At 47.1% G+C, this 16,132-nt stretch overlaps 1 long non-coding RNA gene across 1 annotated transcript; it reads right to left on the bottom strand.

Annotated features, from left to right (window-relative positions):
- Nucleotides 1-15,237, bottom strand: LOC105370627 (uncharacterized). Its single transcript, XR_944153.1, has 3 exons — nucleotides 15,107-15,237; nucleotides 4,280-4,405; nucleotides 1-798 (listed from the first exon to the last, which is right to left on the bottom strand). It is a non-coding gene; the product is annotated as an uncharacterized LOC105370627 (long non-coding RNA).
- Between the last annotated feature and the right edge of the window lie 895 nt (nucleotides 15,238-16,132).

Here is a 16,132-nt window from a genome sequence, read left to right as displayed (position 1 = left end):
CCTCCCAAAGTGCTGGGATTACAGGCATGAGCCACCGCACCCAGCCTCATTCTAGCATTTATATCTCATCGTTTTGTGATGTGGGCGAGATTATCTGTCTCCTTTTAGTGGGTGAAGGCCTCCGGAGTTGGCATCTTATCCACAGCTCTGAACACAGCACCCTGTTTCATGTATAAAGTATTTACTGAATGAGCAAACAAATAGATAAAGAATAGTTGCCCCTGTTAGATGGTATCTGCTCTTACCACCACTTCAGCCCCGCCCCAGGCACTGACCCCATCTTCCCTGCCAAGGTTACCAGTGGCCTGTGAATACATCTCCCAGAATTTGACCCTCTTACACATGTTGACTCTTACTAGCCACCATTCTTTATGTTCTTGACAATGTGCGCTTCTGGTCTTTCTCTTCCTTCTCTGACCAGCTCTTCTTGGTCCCTTTGGGGCGCAGCTCTCCCTGGTCCTCTGGGGTTCCGTTCCAGTCCCTCTTTTCTTCTCACCATTTACCCCTCTTCCTGGGAGAGTGCATTGGTTCTCTCTGCTGCTGACTCACAAGTCTGTTTCTCTAGCTGGAAACTTCTTGGTCATTTCAACCTGCATGTTCAAGGAATGACCTTTGTCTCCCCACATCTCCCACATCTTTCCTCGCAGCCCATCATCAACCAGGCCTCAGATCTGTCCACTTCTTGCCATCCCTGTTGACAGCTCTGGGTCCATTTCCCACCTGGATCACTGCAGCAGCCTCCTTAACCAGCTTCTCTAAGCCTAGTCTTTCTGTCTCATTCCCTTCTTCACCCAGCATCTGGAGAAAGAAAAATCTGATTACAACCCTTCCTTCCATAAAACCATCAGAGGCTTTCTGGATAAACTTCCATCTCTTTCACTTGGCTTTTAAGATCCCGCATGGTCTAAGCAGTACTTCCAACACTGGCTGCACATTTGAATCACCTGGGGAACTTCTCAACCACCAGAGGTGGAGGTGACTTGAGCATCAGTATTTTCTCCAAGCTGCAGCCGGGGTGGAGAACCCCCGCTCCAGACCCTTCTGGCCCCTCCAGCCCAATCTGTCATCATTCCCCTCCTTCAACTCCAAGTTCTAGCCATTCTAAGCCTCTTTGTGGCTCTTTCTTGTTCTTCAAGGGTGACCCTTATCTCATTTGCCTAGAACATGCTTCCCACCTCCAAAGCCCCCTTAACCTGGATAACTCTTCCTTTGCTTCCTATCTTGGAGGAGAGATCATTTCCTCTGAAAAGCATTCCAGGAGCCCTGAAGCCTGAGTTAGGAGCCCTCTTCTGTATATTTATGGTGCCTTGCATTTCTATTGATAATTCATCATGCTGTATGGTAATTGCCTACTTCCTTGTATAATATATAGTTTCCACCAGACTCTAAGCTCTGTGAGGACAGGAACTACCATGCTCACTATGTGACTTAGTAGGTGCTCAATAAATATTCATGGAAGAAAGAGACAAGCACACCCAGCCCACACTCAGCAAATGTGACTTGACTTGTCATGTTTCTCCCATTGGCATCTGTCATATGCAGTGTTTTCACCATTGTTGGATCTCTTGAGCGTGTCTCATAGCCCTAGGGAATAGGCAGAGCCAGAATTAGCATCCCCATTTTACAGACACTCAGGAAGCCAAGGTCCTTCACAATTAAGTGGCCTGCTCCAATTTGCATGAGGAGTCAGAGACACAGCTGGATTTGAACCCAGTCTTCTGCCCTTTAAACACCCTCCACCTACTACCCCATGCCACAGATGCTCACCCTGACAGGCAAGCTGATTAGCTTGTGGGATAAGTTAGTTCCTGTAGAGACAGAAGGCTGTGTGCCACGGCTGTCTCCTGCGTGGGTCATCTCATGGTCACTGACTCATGGTAGGAACGTCCAGCCAAGGGGGAAAGTGCTTAAACAGACAAGGCCTGGGGTTCCCTGCAGTCACCATGTGTAGCTGCTACATATGTTGTAAGGCTGCTTCTCAGATTCTTGGGATTTACTATTTTTGCTCAGGCTGGTCTCAAACTCTTGGGCTTAAGCAATCATCTCGCCTCCATCTCTTGAGTAGCTGGGATTACAGGCATGAGCAACCATGCCCAGCAGATTCTCGGAATTTAAACATGGAAATAACCAGTCCCTTCACTCACCACTCATTCAGAAAGCATTTATGGAGCACCTAACTGTATAGCTCTTTACAATTCTCTATCTTACCACACCATAACCCTGTAGGAACATACGAGTTAGAAAAGGCTAACATACCCTGTCAAAGAAACCCAGCACTGGAGTGACTTGAAGAACAAAGCAATTTCTTTTTTGTATGCAATAGTCTTATAGAGCAGTCCAGGTGTGGAAGGCAGCTCTGCTTCTCATCATCACTTAGGGACCCAGGTTTCTTCCACCTTGTGGCTCTGCCATCCCCTGGAGCATTATCGTCATTCCTGTGGTCAAAGCTGATTCACCACCACACCTGGGCTGCAGCTAACAGGAAGTGGGAGGAGAGCATGGAGGAGGCGTGCTCAATGTCACAAGTCGTAGACCTGGAGATGGCCAGCGTCACTTCTCCTTGTATTCCATTGATGGAAACTTAGTCACATGACCACACCTAAACAAGGAAGTCTGGGAAATGTTTGGGCAGTATGTGCCCAGTGAGAATGCCGTTACTGTGGGAGCCAGAAGGGACGTAAGTGGACAATGATCAGCCTCCACCAGAGTAGTAGAAGTGTCATTAAATGACTAGTCCAAGCTCTCCCAGGTAATAAGTCACAGATCCAAGCCTTCACCTCGAGCTGCAAACCAGAGAGCACCCCCTACCCACTGCCCTCTGCTCACTTGGCTCTTGTCAGTCTGAGAGTGGAAATAAGGCAGGTTGGGATAACCACAGGGGACAACAGGAAGAGCTATTTGGCAAGGGCTCAAAAGGGGCCTCCAATTCAGACCCTTCCTAATTTTCTGCTGTTGGATTGGCCTCTCCTTGCTCCGTATAAGCTGTGGCATTACACAAAAGCCAGATTTCCCTTTATGACCAGTGCACTGCATAGCCCAAGGCTAGAGCAGCTTGGGTTTTTGTTTTTCTGTGACCATGCTCTCTCTTGCTTTTGCATTTCTTCATTTCTTGCTAATGGTTCAGGCCTCAAAAGCTGTGGCCTCTGCATCTCTGGAAGGGCCTTACATACATGGGGAGAAATGACAATAGTGCCAGGAGAAAAATGACAAGTGCTAGGAGAGTGAAACAGACAACATTGGAGGAGATTTTCATCAAAGGGAGATTCTGCCACAAGGGGAGTTGCTAAATGCAGCTAGGACTGCTGGGACAGACACGTCTCCAACTCAGGTGCACGTTTGCCAAATCAGTCCCCAAGGGAAACCAGTACACGTGATGAGCATCTTTCAGTCCTGTGTTTTGTCAGGAAGTGTATTTTGCTTTGAGTTTTTGTTTTGCTTTGTTTTTGTTTCGCTTTGTTTTTGTTTTGTTTTGTTTTGTTTTGTTTGAGACGGAGTCTTGCTCTGTCACCCAGGCTGGAGTGCAATGGCACAGTCTCGGCTCACTGCAACCTCCACCTCCCGGGTTCAAGCGATTCTCCTCCCTCAGCCTCCTGAGTAGCTGGGATTACAGGCGCGCACTACCATGCCCGGCTGATTTTTTTTGTGTTGTTGGTAGAGACGGGGTTTCACCATGTCAGTCAAGCTGGTCTCAAACTCCTGACCTCGTGATCTGCCTGCCTTGGCCTCCCAAAGTGCTGGGATTACAGGCATGAGCCACCGTGCCCGGCCTGCTTTGAGTTTTAATGAGGAAAATTTTTACTCTGCCCACTTTGGAGGCTCCTATACGAACATTCCTGCTAATTCCCACTCAAAAGATGGCCAAGGCTGGGAAGACAGAAATGGACAAAGCTCTGAGGACTGAGATCATGTATTTTGAACATGGGCTACTGCCTGGGTAACCTGAGTAGCTCCCTGTGGCATCTGGGTGGAAATGATGCCCCATTGTCCAGAATGCAGGGGCAGTAAGCCCAGGCGGCCAGCTCGGGCAGCTGTCTGCAGGAAGCTTGCCAGAGACCAGGCCAGCGCTTGCTAGATGTACGAGCTCTTGTCCCCAACTGGAGAACTCGGTGTCCTTTGGTCATTACCCAGATAACATCAGAAACTGCGAGTCAAGCAATCGGGCCATTGCAAATAGGTTCAGTCCCTCAGACTCGGTACCCAGCCTAGCACTTCGCTGTAGTAACTCTAGCTGTCCCCAAATCTCATGAGCTTAGCACTTTTGAGTTTATTTCTCACTCACATGAAGTCCAAAAATGGATGTATTGGCAGGTGGCTCTTCTCCAAGTGCTTATTCAGAGCTCCTGGTCCCTTGCATCTTGTGGCTGTGCCATCTTCCACACATGGCCTCTGGGGGTGCCAAGCTCATCTGCACTGAAACAACAGAGGGGTGAGGACATGGAGAATCCCACGTGGAAGGTTTTTATGGGTCAAACCTGGACGTGGTGACTTTGTATCCACCCACATTTCACAGGTTAGAACTCAGCCACATGACCATGGACTCCAGGAAGGCTGGGACATGGGGTGAAGGAGGAGAGGAAATGGCTTAGTGAGCAGTCATCTTGCTAGGGCCTCAGCAAGAACAATCATAATAGATTCTATTTCTCTATCCCTGCTCTGGGCCGGGCAGCGTTCAAAGATCTTTCTTTCGCTGACCCATTTAATCCTTCCGACACCTCTGCAAGGTAACTACCATTGTGATCGACAAATGTAAGAGCCCAAGCCTCTGAATCTTTAAGTAACTTGCCCAAACTCAACACACAGCGAGTAACTGACCAAGCTGGGATTCAAAGCCAGGTGGTCTGGGTCCCAAATGTCTGCTCTTAACCATCCTGCCTCAAGAATGAGCCTTCCTGCCCAAGTCCTCCTTTTATAGATGGGGAAATTGACACCCAGAAAGACAAAACCAGATGGAAACTCAGATCTCTTCTAGGTTCAGCCTCACTCTCCTGCACATATAAGCTGTCAGTAAACACTTGTTAAGTGAGTGAACTGGTGGTTCTGCCTTTGCATATGATTGGAAGTGAAATATAAAGCACCTCTTTAATGCTAGGTGCCAACTTGTGCATGGCTCACCATCCTTGCACGGAGGCAAAAAGCTGAATAGGAGGCTGGGATGAACACAGACTCAGCTCATTCAAAAATAAATTAGTAAACTGCAACTCTTGTTGGGAATTTTGAAAAAAGGCCCAGAGGAGATTTACTACTGGGTTGCATAATCAAGTGCCCCCAAAGTAATACTAATACTTTAATGGCTGTTATGCAATGTTGATGGGCCTGTATGACTCAGTGTTCTAAATTAATTTAAGGGATTTCTGATGAACATTTTTAGTTAGCTTTGGGGGACTCTCCTCCCCACCCCCAACCCTTTTTTAACCAGGTTCTGAAAGCAGATTCTCTAGCAAATTCTTACTATAGGATGAAGATATTTCAGGTAGGAAAATGCAGATATTTTAGAAGACTATGAAAGGAAAGAAAGGAGCTCTTTTGTCATCAAAACACACAATTACGTTTTCCCCTCTGCCAAAGGCTAAAACCGTCCTCCTCTGGGTCATGCATGTGAGCAGTCATAGGGTCATTCAAGCCGAGAGAATTCTAATCCCTCAGGCTGCTGGTAAATAATAATGTATAAACTTATTATTAGTATTCTGTTTCAAAGGCCAGTGATCAAAAGACGGTTAGCAGATGGCCAGAACGGTGAGCTTTAGAACTCAAATTGAACTGCTTTTGAATTCACACTTCACAATGGCCCTCTGTGGATCTGGACTTCCCATCTTGCATTCTTGGCTCTGCAAAAACCTTCTAGAACCTTCTCTCAGTCCTCTTACAAATGCCCCCACTGCCTCGGGACACATCTGTACGTGCAGGCTGCGCTTTATAATGGGAGGCAGGAGGAGTTTCCTGCAACCATTTCTCAGAGTCTCAGCCTTGCTCTGCCGGAAGAGAGCCTGAAGTGGAAACCCTGGTGTCTTTGAACAGAAAGTGTCTGGCCTTGAGACACATACATTTGGGACATTTGTGCCCTTGAGCAAAACTTAATATGTGGAGCCCCAGTGACCTGTAAGAGAAGAAGCCTTTCTGATACAGCAATAATTTTCTCCTTGCCACAAAGCATTAATATTCAGTAGCTGAGTTTTATAACGAAGAACCATATGATGATTTTTAGAAGCATTCACCTGGAACCAAGGAAGAAACTGGGGGTGACATGGCCTGCCCAAGATGGAGCTGCTACTGGTCCCTCTCATTTTCCCATTGTCTGCCCTCTTTGCCATAGTTTCTGTCCCACATTCCCCTACCTCCTATCAAGATACCAAAATCTCATCTCATATAGTTTCACATCCAAATTTCTATAAAATCAAACTTCATTTCATAAGTATTAGCTGGTAAGAATTTAAATCAGTGGCCCACCATTTTGAAGATCATGGAGGCCTTTGAAAATCCAATTAATCCTATAGACCTTTGTCTATATTATCATATATGGTTTGTATACTTTCCTAAAGTGTACAAACCATATACACAAGACCTTGAATATAATTTCTGGAGTGGAACCCTTTCCCCAAAGCCATCTTCTAAGGACTTTCAAGAACCTCTGGTTTAAGGTGGATCTTTACTATACCTCTGAGACGTCACTCAGGACTATATTTTAGAAATAAACTAAAAGACCAAATAGCCTCAGAGACTTAAATAAGCAAAGGCCAATTTCTTGTTGCTTCTCCAAGGAAAGCAAGAGAATTCCAATGCTGATACTGGAAGAGTTTAGAGGCCCTGTGGTTAAATACATTTTGGAAATATTGTATGCTATAATCCCCTTTCGGAGGCCTGCAAGGCATATTATTGGCTCTGGGAAGATACACAATGCAACATCTATTATTTTGTGGAATTCAGCATTTCTGGAACTTATTTCACCCTGGAATACTTTTTGCTCCCATCACCAGTTAATATCCCCATAGAACTGGTGTTTTGAGAAATATTGATATAGCCTAATCCCTGCATTTTGCATATGGGGAAACTGAGGCCAAGAAAAGGGGCTTGACTTTCCCACGGTCCCAGTGAGTTAGTGATAGAGCCAGACCTGAAAGCCTGGTCTTCTGGCTCATAGCTCTATCTGGCAAAATTGCCTCAGTAAAAGCATCTTCTTTGGGGATGGGGGGCAATCTGGAGAACAGAAGACAGAAATAGCTATGTCTGATTCACTTAGGGTGGGGGCATTGTCAGTGGTCCCGGTTTAATACTCAACACCCTCATCAGCTCATCAGAGCCCTGATGTGCCTGTGGATTTTGTCCCACGGGTAATACTCTGAGGGCCTGGGGTGCTCATGATGAAGGCCCAGCAGGACCAGCCCAGCATGGGTTATAGAATGGGAGCTGGAGTCTAGACCTGGCTCTCAGGGACACTCTTACGTTTCTGGTGATCTTACCTGGCATCAGTGGGGAGACCCAATGGGCCATGCCTAGGAGGACACACAGTAGGCACACACCTTTGTGACCAACCCAAACCAAATGAATAGGAGCAGAAAGGGCTCTGATGGGTGTGAGTGCAATACACACTGAGTCCCCAGGATATCGGCAGAGAGATAGAAGCTCTGCCCCCATTGTATTAGGGATACACTGTGCTCAAAAGCTGTCTGTTTAAAATCTTCAAAGGATGGACTCCATCCTCCCTCACTCCAAAGCCCAGTCAGCAGCTAAACGGATATCCCCTCCCCAGCACCTCCCAACAGCCCATCCCCATAGGGCACCTGCTGGTCGCATTTTCTCAAACACTCTCTGAGTCTCTTTTTAACTTCCCTAGGTCATGAGTGTCCTTTGGCTCATTGCTAAAGACACAGCAACCATATGATTGTTTGCTCAGAAGTCAAAGGATGCTAAGGATTGCTAAGAAGTTAAAAGGAAATCGTCTGAGGTTTTCCTATTAAAAAAAAAACAACAAAAACAAAGCAACAATCTCCTTGCTTTGCTTATAACCATGTGGAAATTGCATGCATTACTCTGTGTGGGGAGACACTGGAAATAAAAATAGTTCCTTTGATAAAAAGAAAATAATGATGCCTTTAGTGGGGGTCTGGAGCTGCTCCCAGGACAGTAAGCTGAGTCCCTGCTTTCCTTAGTAGAGATACCAGGGCCCATGGAGCTGCCTGCATGCAGGCCCAGTTGAGGCCCTTGCAGCCAGTCAGTGGTGTCCATATGGGCTGACAGATGTTGTGTTGAAATTGAGAAGTATGATTCAGTCTCTAGACTCAATGGGAAGGAATACCCATGACCATGGGGTGGGAGGTGGGGGTGCTGGGTGGGGATGCTCAGGAGCACACACTGGGTGAGCATTTGTAGTGCCTGGACAAGCCCTCGTTCTGGTCTTGGCTCCATCACAAACCTGTGTGACAATGGGAAAGTCACTTCACTTCTTGGAGCTTGAAGCTCCTCATCTCTAAGTGATCGGGGAGCCCCTCCCAGTTCTATAAGTCACTCCAAGCCCCTCCTGTACTAAATGCCCCCTAAAGAAAAAGCAGAATACTCAGGGAGTGACCTTTTGCCCTCCAGCCCAGGCTGGCTCTGGCAGTCCTTGCTGTGAGTTCCGCCAGCCTCCCGCTTCTCAGCAGCTTCCGAACGGCAGGCCTGCTGACTTGGGCTCCAAACCCCTAAATTGGGAAATGTTCAACTGCAGATTGTTTACATTGTGTATTCAGAGTATGAAGTGGTGTTTGAGAAGTGTTGCCATGGAAACAGTGAAGTGAGGAGGCAGCTAACTATGAGGGGAAATAATCCAATATTAACATTCACAAGCTATGCTCCTTTACTGCTGTAAATGAAATATCACATTATTGGACAGCCCCTCAAGGCAGCCACTGCCCATGTACTGGGCCATAGTCTTAAAAATTGGAGGAAACTACCTCCAGCTGATTAAAGAAACTGTAGCACATTCAGAGGCTCCTTGACGTTGGGTCTGGGGCTTCTCCCAGCTCTGAGAGTTGCTGCCTCTAAGCCAATGGCTCTCAAACTTTGTTGATGGGTAACCCACTGGAGCAGGACAAAAGACCTCATGGTCTACTGCCTCATCCAGTCCCAATTTTCCATGGAAAAGGTACTGTGTGATAATAGGAAATGCTGCCATAAAGCAAATTTGGGGAAGCCAGAGGTGCATGCATGCATCCGCCTTTGCAGCCAGCACGTGGAGGTTCCCATGGGAATCATAGTATCTATGACACTAGAGTCTAGTCATTGGAAAATTATAGACTCCCCAGATGGTTGATGCAAAATGGGCATCACTACACACTGCAGAGTTAACCAAACAACCCCCGACAAACACCATGGAGATGGGTGAAGCTGAATTCACTGTAACATACAGCCAAGGAGCAAGAAGAGCAATGACTGAAAAGCATAGCCGACTTGAGACAGCACTAACGGGATGCCAGCAATGCGTAGCCTTCCCCCAAATTGCAGGATTCCCAGCCACCTCTGTTGCCAAGAGCCAGATGGCAGCCAGGCTTCTAAGTAGAACACTGTGTTCAAGTCCTCAGTAAATTCCAATGTTGGCTCCTTTTACCTTATGAACACCAAATATTAGAAACCCTCAATACTCATTTATTAAGTGACCTTGATCATATGTGACGATGACAGCCTTTGAGGTGCTGCACTCTTTGCCTGGGGGAAGGGTTTGTGTGTTCCTGTCCAGAGGGTCTCCAAGGCCCTCTTCTGGGCTGCAGGTTACTGAGGATCATGAGTAGCAGAATCAGGTAGGTAGTCTTGCCCAAAGCTCCATCCTCACCTCTCCCGGCCACTCGTAGCACTTCACTAACATTCATCGCCCACTGCTGCCTGTGGGCAGCTGCACAGAGTCACTGGGGGAGTTTTGAACATGATACCTCCCTGGGCCATAGCTCTGGAAATTCTGATCTACAAGATCAGGGATGGAGCTCAAGGATCTACATTCTCAAAAATGTCCACAGAGTGTGTGAGGGACAGCCAGATGTGGAAGCCCTAGGCTTTGGGGGGTGTCAAACAGACCGGGCTGAACTCCCGTCTACCACATCCTCCCGCCTGGAACCTTGGCCTGAGTGGGAGAGCCTCGGTGCCTCAGTTTCCCCATCTGTATATTGAGGATGAAATGCCTGCCTCCCAGGGAGATGGGAGGGTCCCAGGACAAAATGGCTGGAGAACACTTGGCTCTGCTTGGTTCCTGGCAAGTTCCCAGCAATGCTCCTTTGGAGGTCGTATGGCCCATAGAAAACCCGAGGGGGCGGGCTTCCAGGGGAGGCATGTTACTGTTGTGCTTTATAACCTACATATACATTACATGTGTCCTTTTGCATATATCAAATGCTTCATATTTTTTTAAGTCTATTCAGGAAAAAAAGAGAATATGATTTGGAGTCAAAGCAACCAATGTTCAAATTCCAGTTCTGCCAGTAGCTGTGCCCACTAACTGTGTGACTGCCCCTCTCTAAGCAGCAGTTCATGGTCTTTAAAATGGAAATAATAATCCTTACCTCTCAGGGTTTTTGTGAAGGTTGAAAAACAAATTTACCTTAAAATTTTTTTGAGACGAATCCAGATATAACTGTATGAATAAAGCAAATGAATGGATAAAAACACGAGCGAGTACATGACGTGCTTGGCACAATGCCTTGGGCAGAGGAGACATTCAGTGAGTGTGGGCCCTGCCTTCTGGATCCTCCCCGCGAGGCCAGCATGGGGGCTCGTGGCCAGACGAGCACTGGACAGACATCCCAGCTGGACAGAAGAGAGGCTGACAGCTGAGCTTCTGCTGGGTGGACAGAGGAATCACAGCTCCTTCTCAGGTCAGGGGTGGCCAGCACCCCAAGTCCAAGGGGAGAGTCCCATCAGGTGATCTGAGCAGAGTCCAGCTTCAGAGAATTGAAAGGAACAAAATCTGGAGTCACTGGCATTGTCTTGATCCCGGAGCTCAGGAATGCAAATATAATAACTCCACAGCAGGGGCCAGGGATCAGCTCGTGCTTTTCCTCACCAATTTTACCAGATGATCAGGCTTTCTCTGGACCCGCCACCTTGACTGGCTCAAGAATCTCTCAAGAGGTGCCTCTATGTACCCAGGCATTCAGTGAGATTTGTATGTTCTGTCCAGAGGGGCCAGTCCTGTCTGTCCTCACGTCGTACCCCATAAACACTTGGGCAGCCCCTCATGACAGGCAGAGCCCGTGATACTGCTGGGGACACGTAATGCTCTGGATCATGCTGCCTGGCAGGGGTGGGTCCTGCCCAGCCCATGGTAGCTCCTCAGGGAGTAAGGCAGGCCACCCCTGACTGTAGAGTCCCATGCAGAGCTGGCCTGGGCTCCCAGCATTTGGATCCTTCAAAGCCATTTCTCCAACCACTTTCCTGGGGCACAAACCCTGTACACAAACCCTGTAGAGCCTGCCTGGGAAAGTTGTCTGGTAGAGTTTCACCTTCTATTACTCTTACCTCTGGCCTTTGCTGCGGGTCAACCCTTTGATACTGTCTCTACCATTTCCTGCCTCCTGCAGAATTCTATCTCAGGGGCTACATTGCCATTTCCTGCCACCTGATCAAAGTCACCTCAAAGGGGTGGGGCTGGGGTCTTGGCCCTTTTCCTCAAAGGAGACTCCTCTGCTCCTTGCCCAGTTCTTCTCCAGCAACCTCCAAGCTCAGCACACCAATGACTGCATAAGGGCACGGTAATGCAATTCCACACACCCATGGAGCCTGAACACAAGCCCCTGTTAAGTCAACCGTACTGGTAAGCTTGGAGCTCCCGGCATGCCACCAGGAGACCAGCTGGGCACAAGGCAGCATTTTTTTACTTAACAATCAGGTATTGGTGACTTCCTCTGTTCTAGGCATTATGCCTAGAACTCAGCAAGGGAGGATTGCTTGAGCCCAGGAGCTCAAGGCTGCAGAGACGGAGACTTAAAAGACACAGGCTCTGCCCTCTGGATGTTCACAGTCTAAGAAGAGAGACTCTGGTATAAATAATAACATGGAAAGAGAGTTGGGAGTTGGGCCAGGATCCCAACACCCAGGAATGGTGCTGAGTAACAATCATGGCTCTGATTCTCTCGGAGACTGAGCTTCCAGGCAGTTACTGGAGCAAGACAATGGTACAGAGAGAAAAGCACAAATCCAGTTAAGAGAACTAGAGTCCAGAGAAGACAAGAGGAAAGAGCAGGTAGGATCCTCATGATCACTATGGGGACACCAAAGCAGGCAAGATGCTCAGGACCCTGTGTGAGACCCAGTACTTAGCCCTGGGTCTTGATGTTGTATTGATGAGGAAGGTTAATCTGCTGTGACAAAGAGACCCCAAAATATACTGACCTAAAGAACAAAGAATTGGATCGCCAGATAAAATATAGGATACTCAATTACATTTGAATTTCAGATAAATAACAACTTTTAGCTTAAATATGCCCTATGCAATATTTGAATTCATTCATTTTTTATCTGAAATTCTAATTTAATTGGGAATGCTACATTTCAATTTCCTAGATCTGGCAACCCTAAAACAAAGGAGTATTTCTCTCTTACTTAAGAGTTTGGTCTAGACTGGTAGACCAGCCCAGCTCCACAAAGTCATTCAGGGACCCAGGTTCATTGTACTGCTTCCCCATCCCTTGAGGCAGAAGTTCTCAAGGTGTGGCTTGCCAACCAGCAGCAGCAGCATCACCTAGGAACTTCTCAGAAATGCAATTCTTGGGCCACACTCCAGAAACATTGGGGTGGGCCCAGGAATCTGGGCCTTCTAGGTGACTCGGATGAGCTCAAGCTTGAGAAACACTGCCCTACTGTGCTATCCTCTTTGGTATGGTTGCAGCTGGGTCCTTGCCACATCCTGTCTTCCACCTAGAGGGGATAGGGAGAGGGAGAAGAGAACATGGAGGAGGCTGACCAGTCTTTTAACAGCCAATCTAGGAATTGGCTCACATTCCACTGAAGGCTAGTCACATGGCCATATCCACCCACAAGGAAGACTGGAAAATGTCATCTCTAGTTAGATAGAGTCTAACTACAACTCTATAAATAATGGAAGGAGAGAATAGATTTTGTTGGACCACTAGCTATTTCTGCTGAACATGTCCTCTGGTCACCCTGGCCATCACAATAAGGGGGATTGAAGCAGCCTAGTCAGCAAATGAGGTTCCCTGCAGTAGGGGCATTAGGCCAGGCATAGTGGCTCATACCTGTAATACCCATGCTTTGGGAAGTTGAGGTGGGAGGATCACTTGGGCCCAGGAGTTTGAGACCAGCCTGGGCAACATGGTAAGATCTAGTAGCTACAATATATATATATAAGCCAGGCATGGTGGCATGTGCCTATAGTCCCAGCTACTCAAGAGGCTAAGGTGGGAGGATTGCTTGAGCCCAGAAACTCAAGGCTGCAGTGAACAATGATTGCACCATTGCTCTCTAGCCTGAGTGACAGAGGGAGAATGTGTCTCTATTTAGAAGGATAAGAAGAGGAGGAGGAAGTCGGGGCATTGGTGGACCCATATGCACAGAACAGGAGAGCAAGGGGAAAGGGGCATAGGGCCTGTGAGAATGGGCCTTCTTTATTTAGTGTCCAACTCTTCTTTTCAGCAGCCTGCAGCACTCCCGACACCCCCACTGTAATGTCCCCAGGGCCTCTCTACTGCAACACTTCAGGCTTTCTTGATTTCTTCCTATCAAATCTTACCTTCTCTCTATCCCATGATTCCAGATGAAACCTAGATAAAAAATAATGTATGCAGGCTCTATGGCATTCATAGAAGCGCAATGTCCTATCCAAAGAGATGATGGTGCCAGGCATGGTGGCTCAGGCCTGTAATCCCAGCACTTTGGGAGGCCGAGGCAGGCAGATTACTTGAGCCCAGTAGTTCAAGACCAGCCTAGGCAATATGGTGAAACCACGTCTCTACAAAAAATACACACACACATATACACACAAATTAGCCAGGCACAGTGGCATGTCCCTATGGTCCCAGCTACTTGGGAGGCTGAGGTGGGAGGATAACCTGAGCCCAGGAAGTTGAGGCTGCAGAGAGTCGTGATTGCACCACTGTACTCCAGCCTGGGCAACAGAGTGAGATCCTGTCTCAAAAAAACAGAAAATGAACAAACAAAAAACCCAAAGAAGTGATGGTTAACAGTTCTACTTTGTTTTTCAGGTCCCAGGTAGACTCTCATGTTAAGTTCTGATGTCCCGTGTTTAAAGGAATATTAACAATTTAGAACACATTTAAAGGAGAGTGAAAATAATGATAGCGAGGGTATCTCAAAACTTTAGGGAATCATTTGGCTTGAAGAGGAAGACCTGGGAAGGCCAGGGAATTATCATCAAATATACAAAGGCTGCCATAGAGGAGAGTTCCACTTATTCCATGCAGCCAAAGAGGACAGAACTAAGGGTGTTGGGTATAAGATACACGAAGGCAGACCTGCGTTCCCCAATCTAAAGGTGAACTAACAATAAGGTTTAACCAGCAGTGGAAGGGAGCAGTTTTCTTAAGAGGAAGTAAGTTCCTCATTGCTGGAAGCATCCAAGTAGAAGTTAGGTCTGGAATAGTGTAGAAGAGATGACTCGGACTAGATGAGAGTTGAGTCAGTCCCAACCAGAGGAGTCTTTGGTTCTAACATATATTTGCTACTGACCCTAAGCAAGTCATTTGACCCATCTGAGTCTCAATTTCCTCATCTATACACGTCGGAGTCCCTGCCTTGTATCGTTCAATAAGAATATTGCAAGAGTCCAATAACAAAATGGCAAAAGCCCGTTTAAGTGTAAATAGCACATCTGATGATGACAATAATGGTGACAGTGACAACAACAAGCACGTCTATGCTTCTATTATTTAAAGGGAACTTTTAGAGACCCAGAAAAGAAAGGACTGATGTTGGACACTTTGGGCATGAAGGAAGATTGTCAGGGGCAAGGAGGATGATATTTTTCTTTAAACAGGACATTGGGAAGCATCTCAGGTTGCACCACCTCCTCCACCTACAGGTATGACAAGTCTAGCTGAAGCCATGTTAGCTGGAAGTCTGCAAACTAGGCAGGACATGGCGTCCGCATGCTGCCCCTGCCTATAAAACTCACCTGGCATTTGAATATTGATTGAGATTCTGCTGGCCTCTGGTTCGTGCTCAGGAAAACCCCCCTCTCGTTATAGCCCAGCTTCGTTTTGCTGAGATGTCTTTCAATGTTTCCAGCAGCGGTGGGGGTGGGAGGCACATCTGTATGTGTTTCAAGGCAAATTTGTTTCAGAGTGGGCTTTGCATAATGCCACAGTGCAGAACTGAGCCATTGTCAAGGGGATCAATGCAGGGCTGATGTCTGTGGGCCTATTATCTGAACTGCTACAATGACCCAGGAAGAGCAGGCTCACTGACCGCCATTGTGAGGGCTCACTTGACCAAAAGGCAGAGTGGCGTGGCAGTGGCAGGCCAAGCTGAGTGCTCCACTTCTCAGATTGTATAACTAGGGGACTGGAGAAAGTTCCATCAACTGGCTTCATTCAGCTATGGCAGAGTGAGAATTGGTGGGGCTTCTATCCCTCCTCTGCCTCCTGATAGCTATGCCAACAAAGGAAAAGGGAAAAGCATTACTCATCCTATATTCTACTGCCTCTATTCAGTTGGATTCTTACTTTGCCCTGTTTATGGTTTTAATTAGTATTATCTGGGGCCCATAGAGTAGACGGTGATATTTTAGAAACCATGATGTTTAAAATATTTTGTTAGATTGGTTTCTCCCATTCAGAAAAATAAAGATATAAGTAGGGGATCTGATAGGGAGCTGTATGCAGTCAATATTATTAGGAGCAAACCTTTAACTTTTAAAGGTTGATTAAGCAAGTCAGTTTCTAGATAAAGAAACTGGCTTGCTCATAATCAGATTCTAGGATTCAAGCGTGGATTTCCAGTATTCTTTCCAATACAACATAACAGCTTTCTTTCATTTAGTAAGTACTGATTGAGACCCTACTGTGCGCTGGATACTCCTACAGGGACTGGCAATAAGGCAGTAAATCAGACGAAGCCCCTGCTCTATGGAGCTTATATTCTAGGGAGGGAAGACTTGTATTTTCTGATGCACACGAGTGTGCCTCCTAGTACATCTTGT

The sequence above is a fragment of the Homo sapiens genome, chromosome 14 (assembly GCF_000001405.40).
Source record: "Homo sapiens chromosome 14, GRCh38.p14 Primary Assembly".
Lineage (NCBI taxonomy): Eukaryota > Metazoa > Chordata > Mammalia > Primates > Hominidae > Homo > Homo sapiens.
Note: the sequence above shows the minus strand (reverse complement) of the source record. Positions and strands in the feature narration are given on the sequence as shown.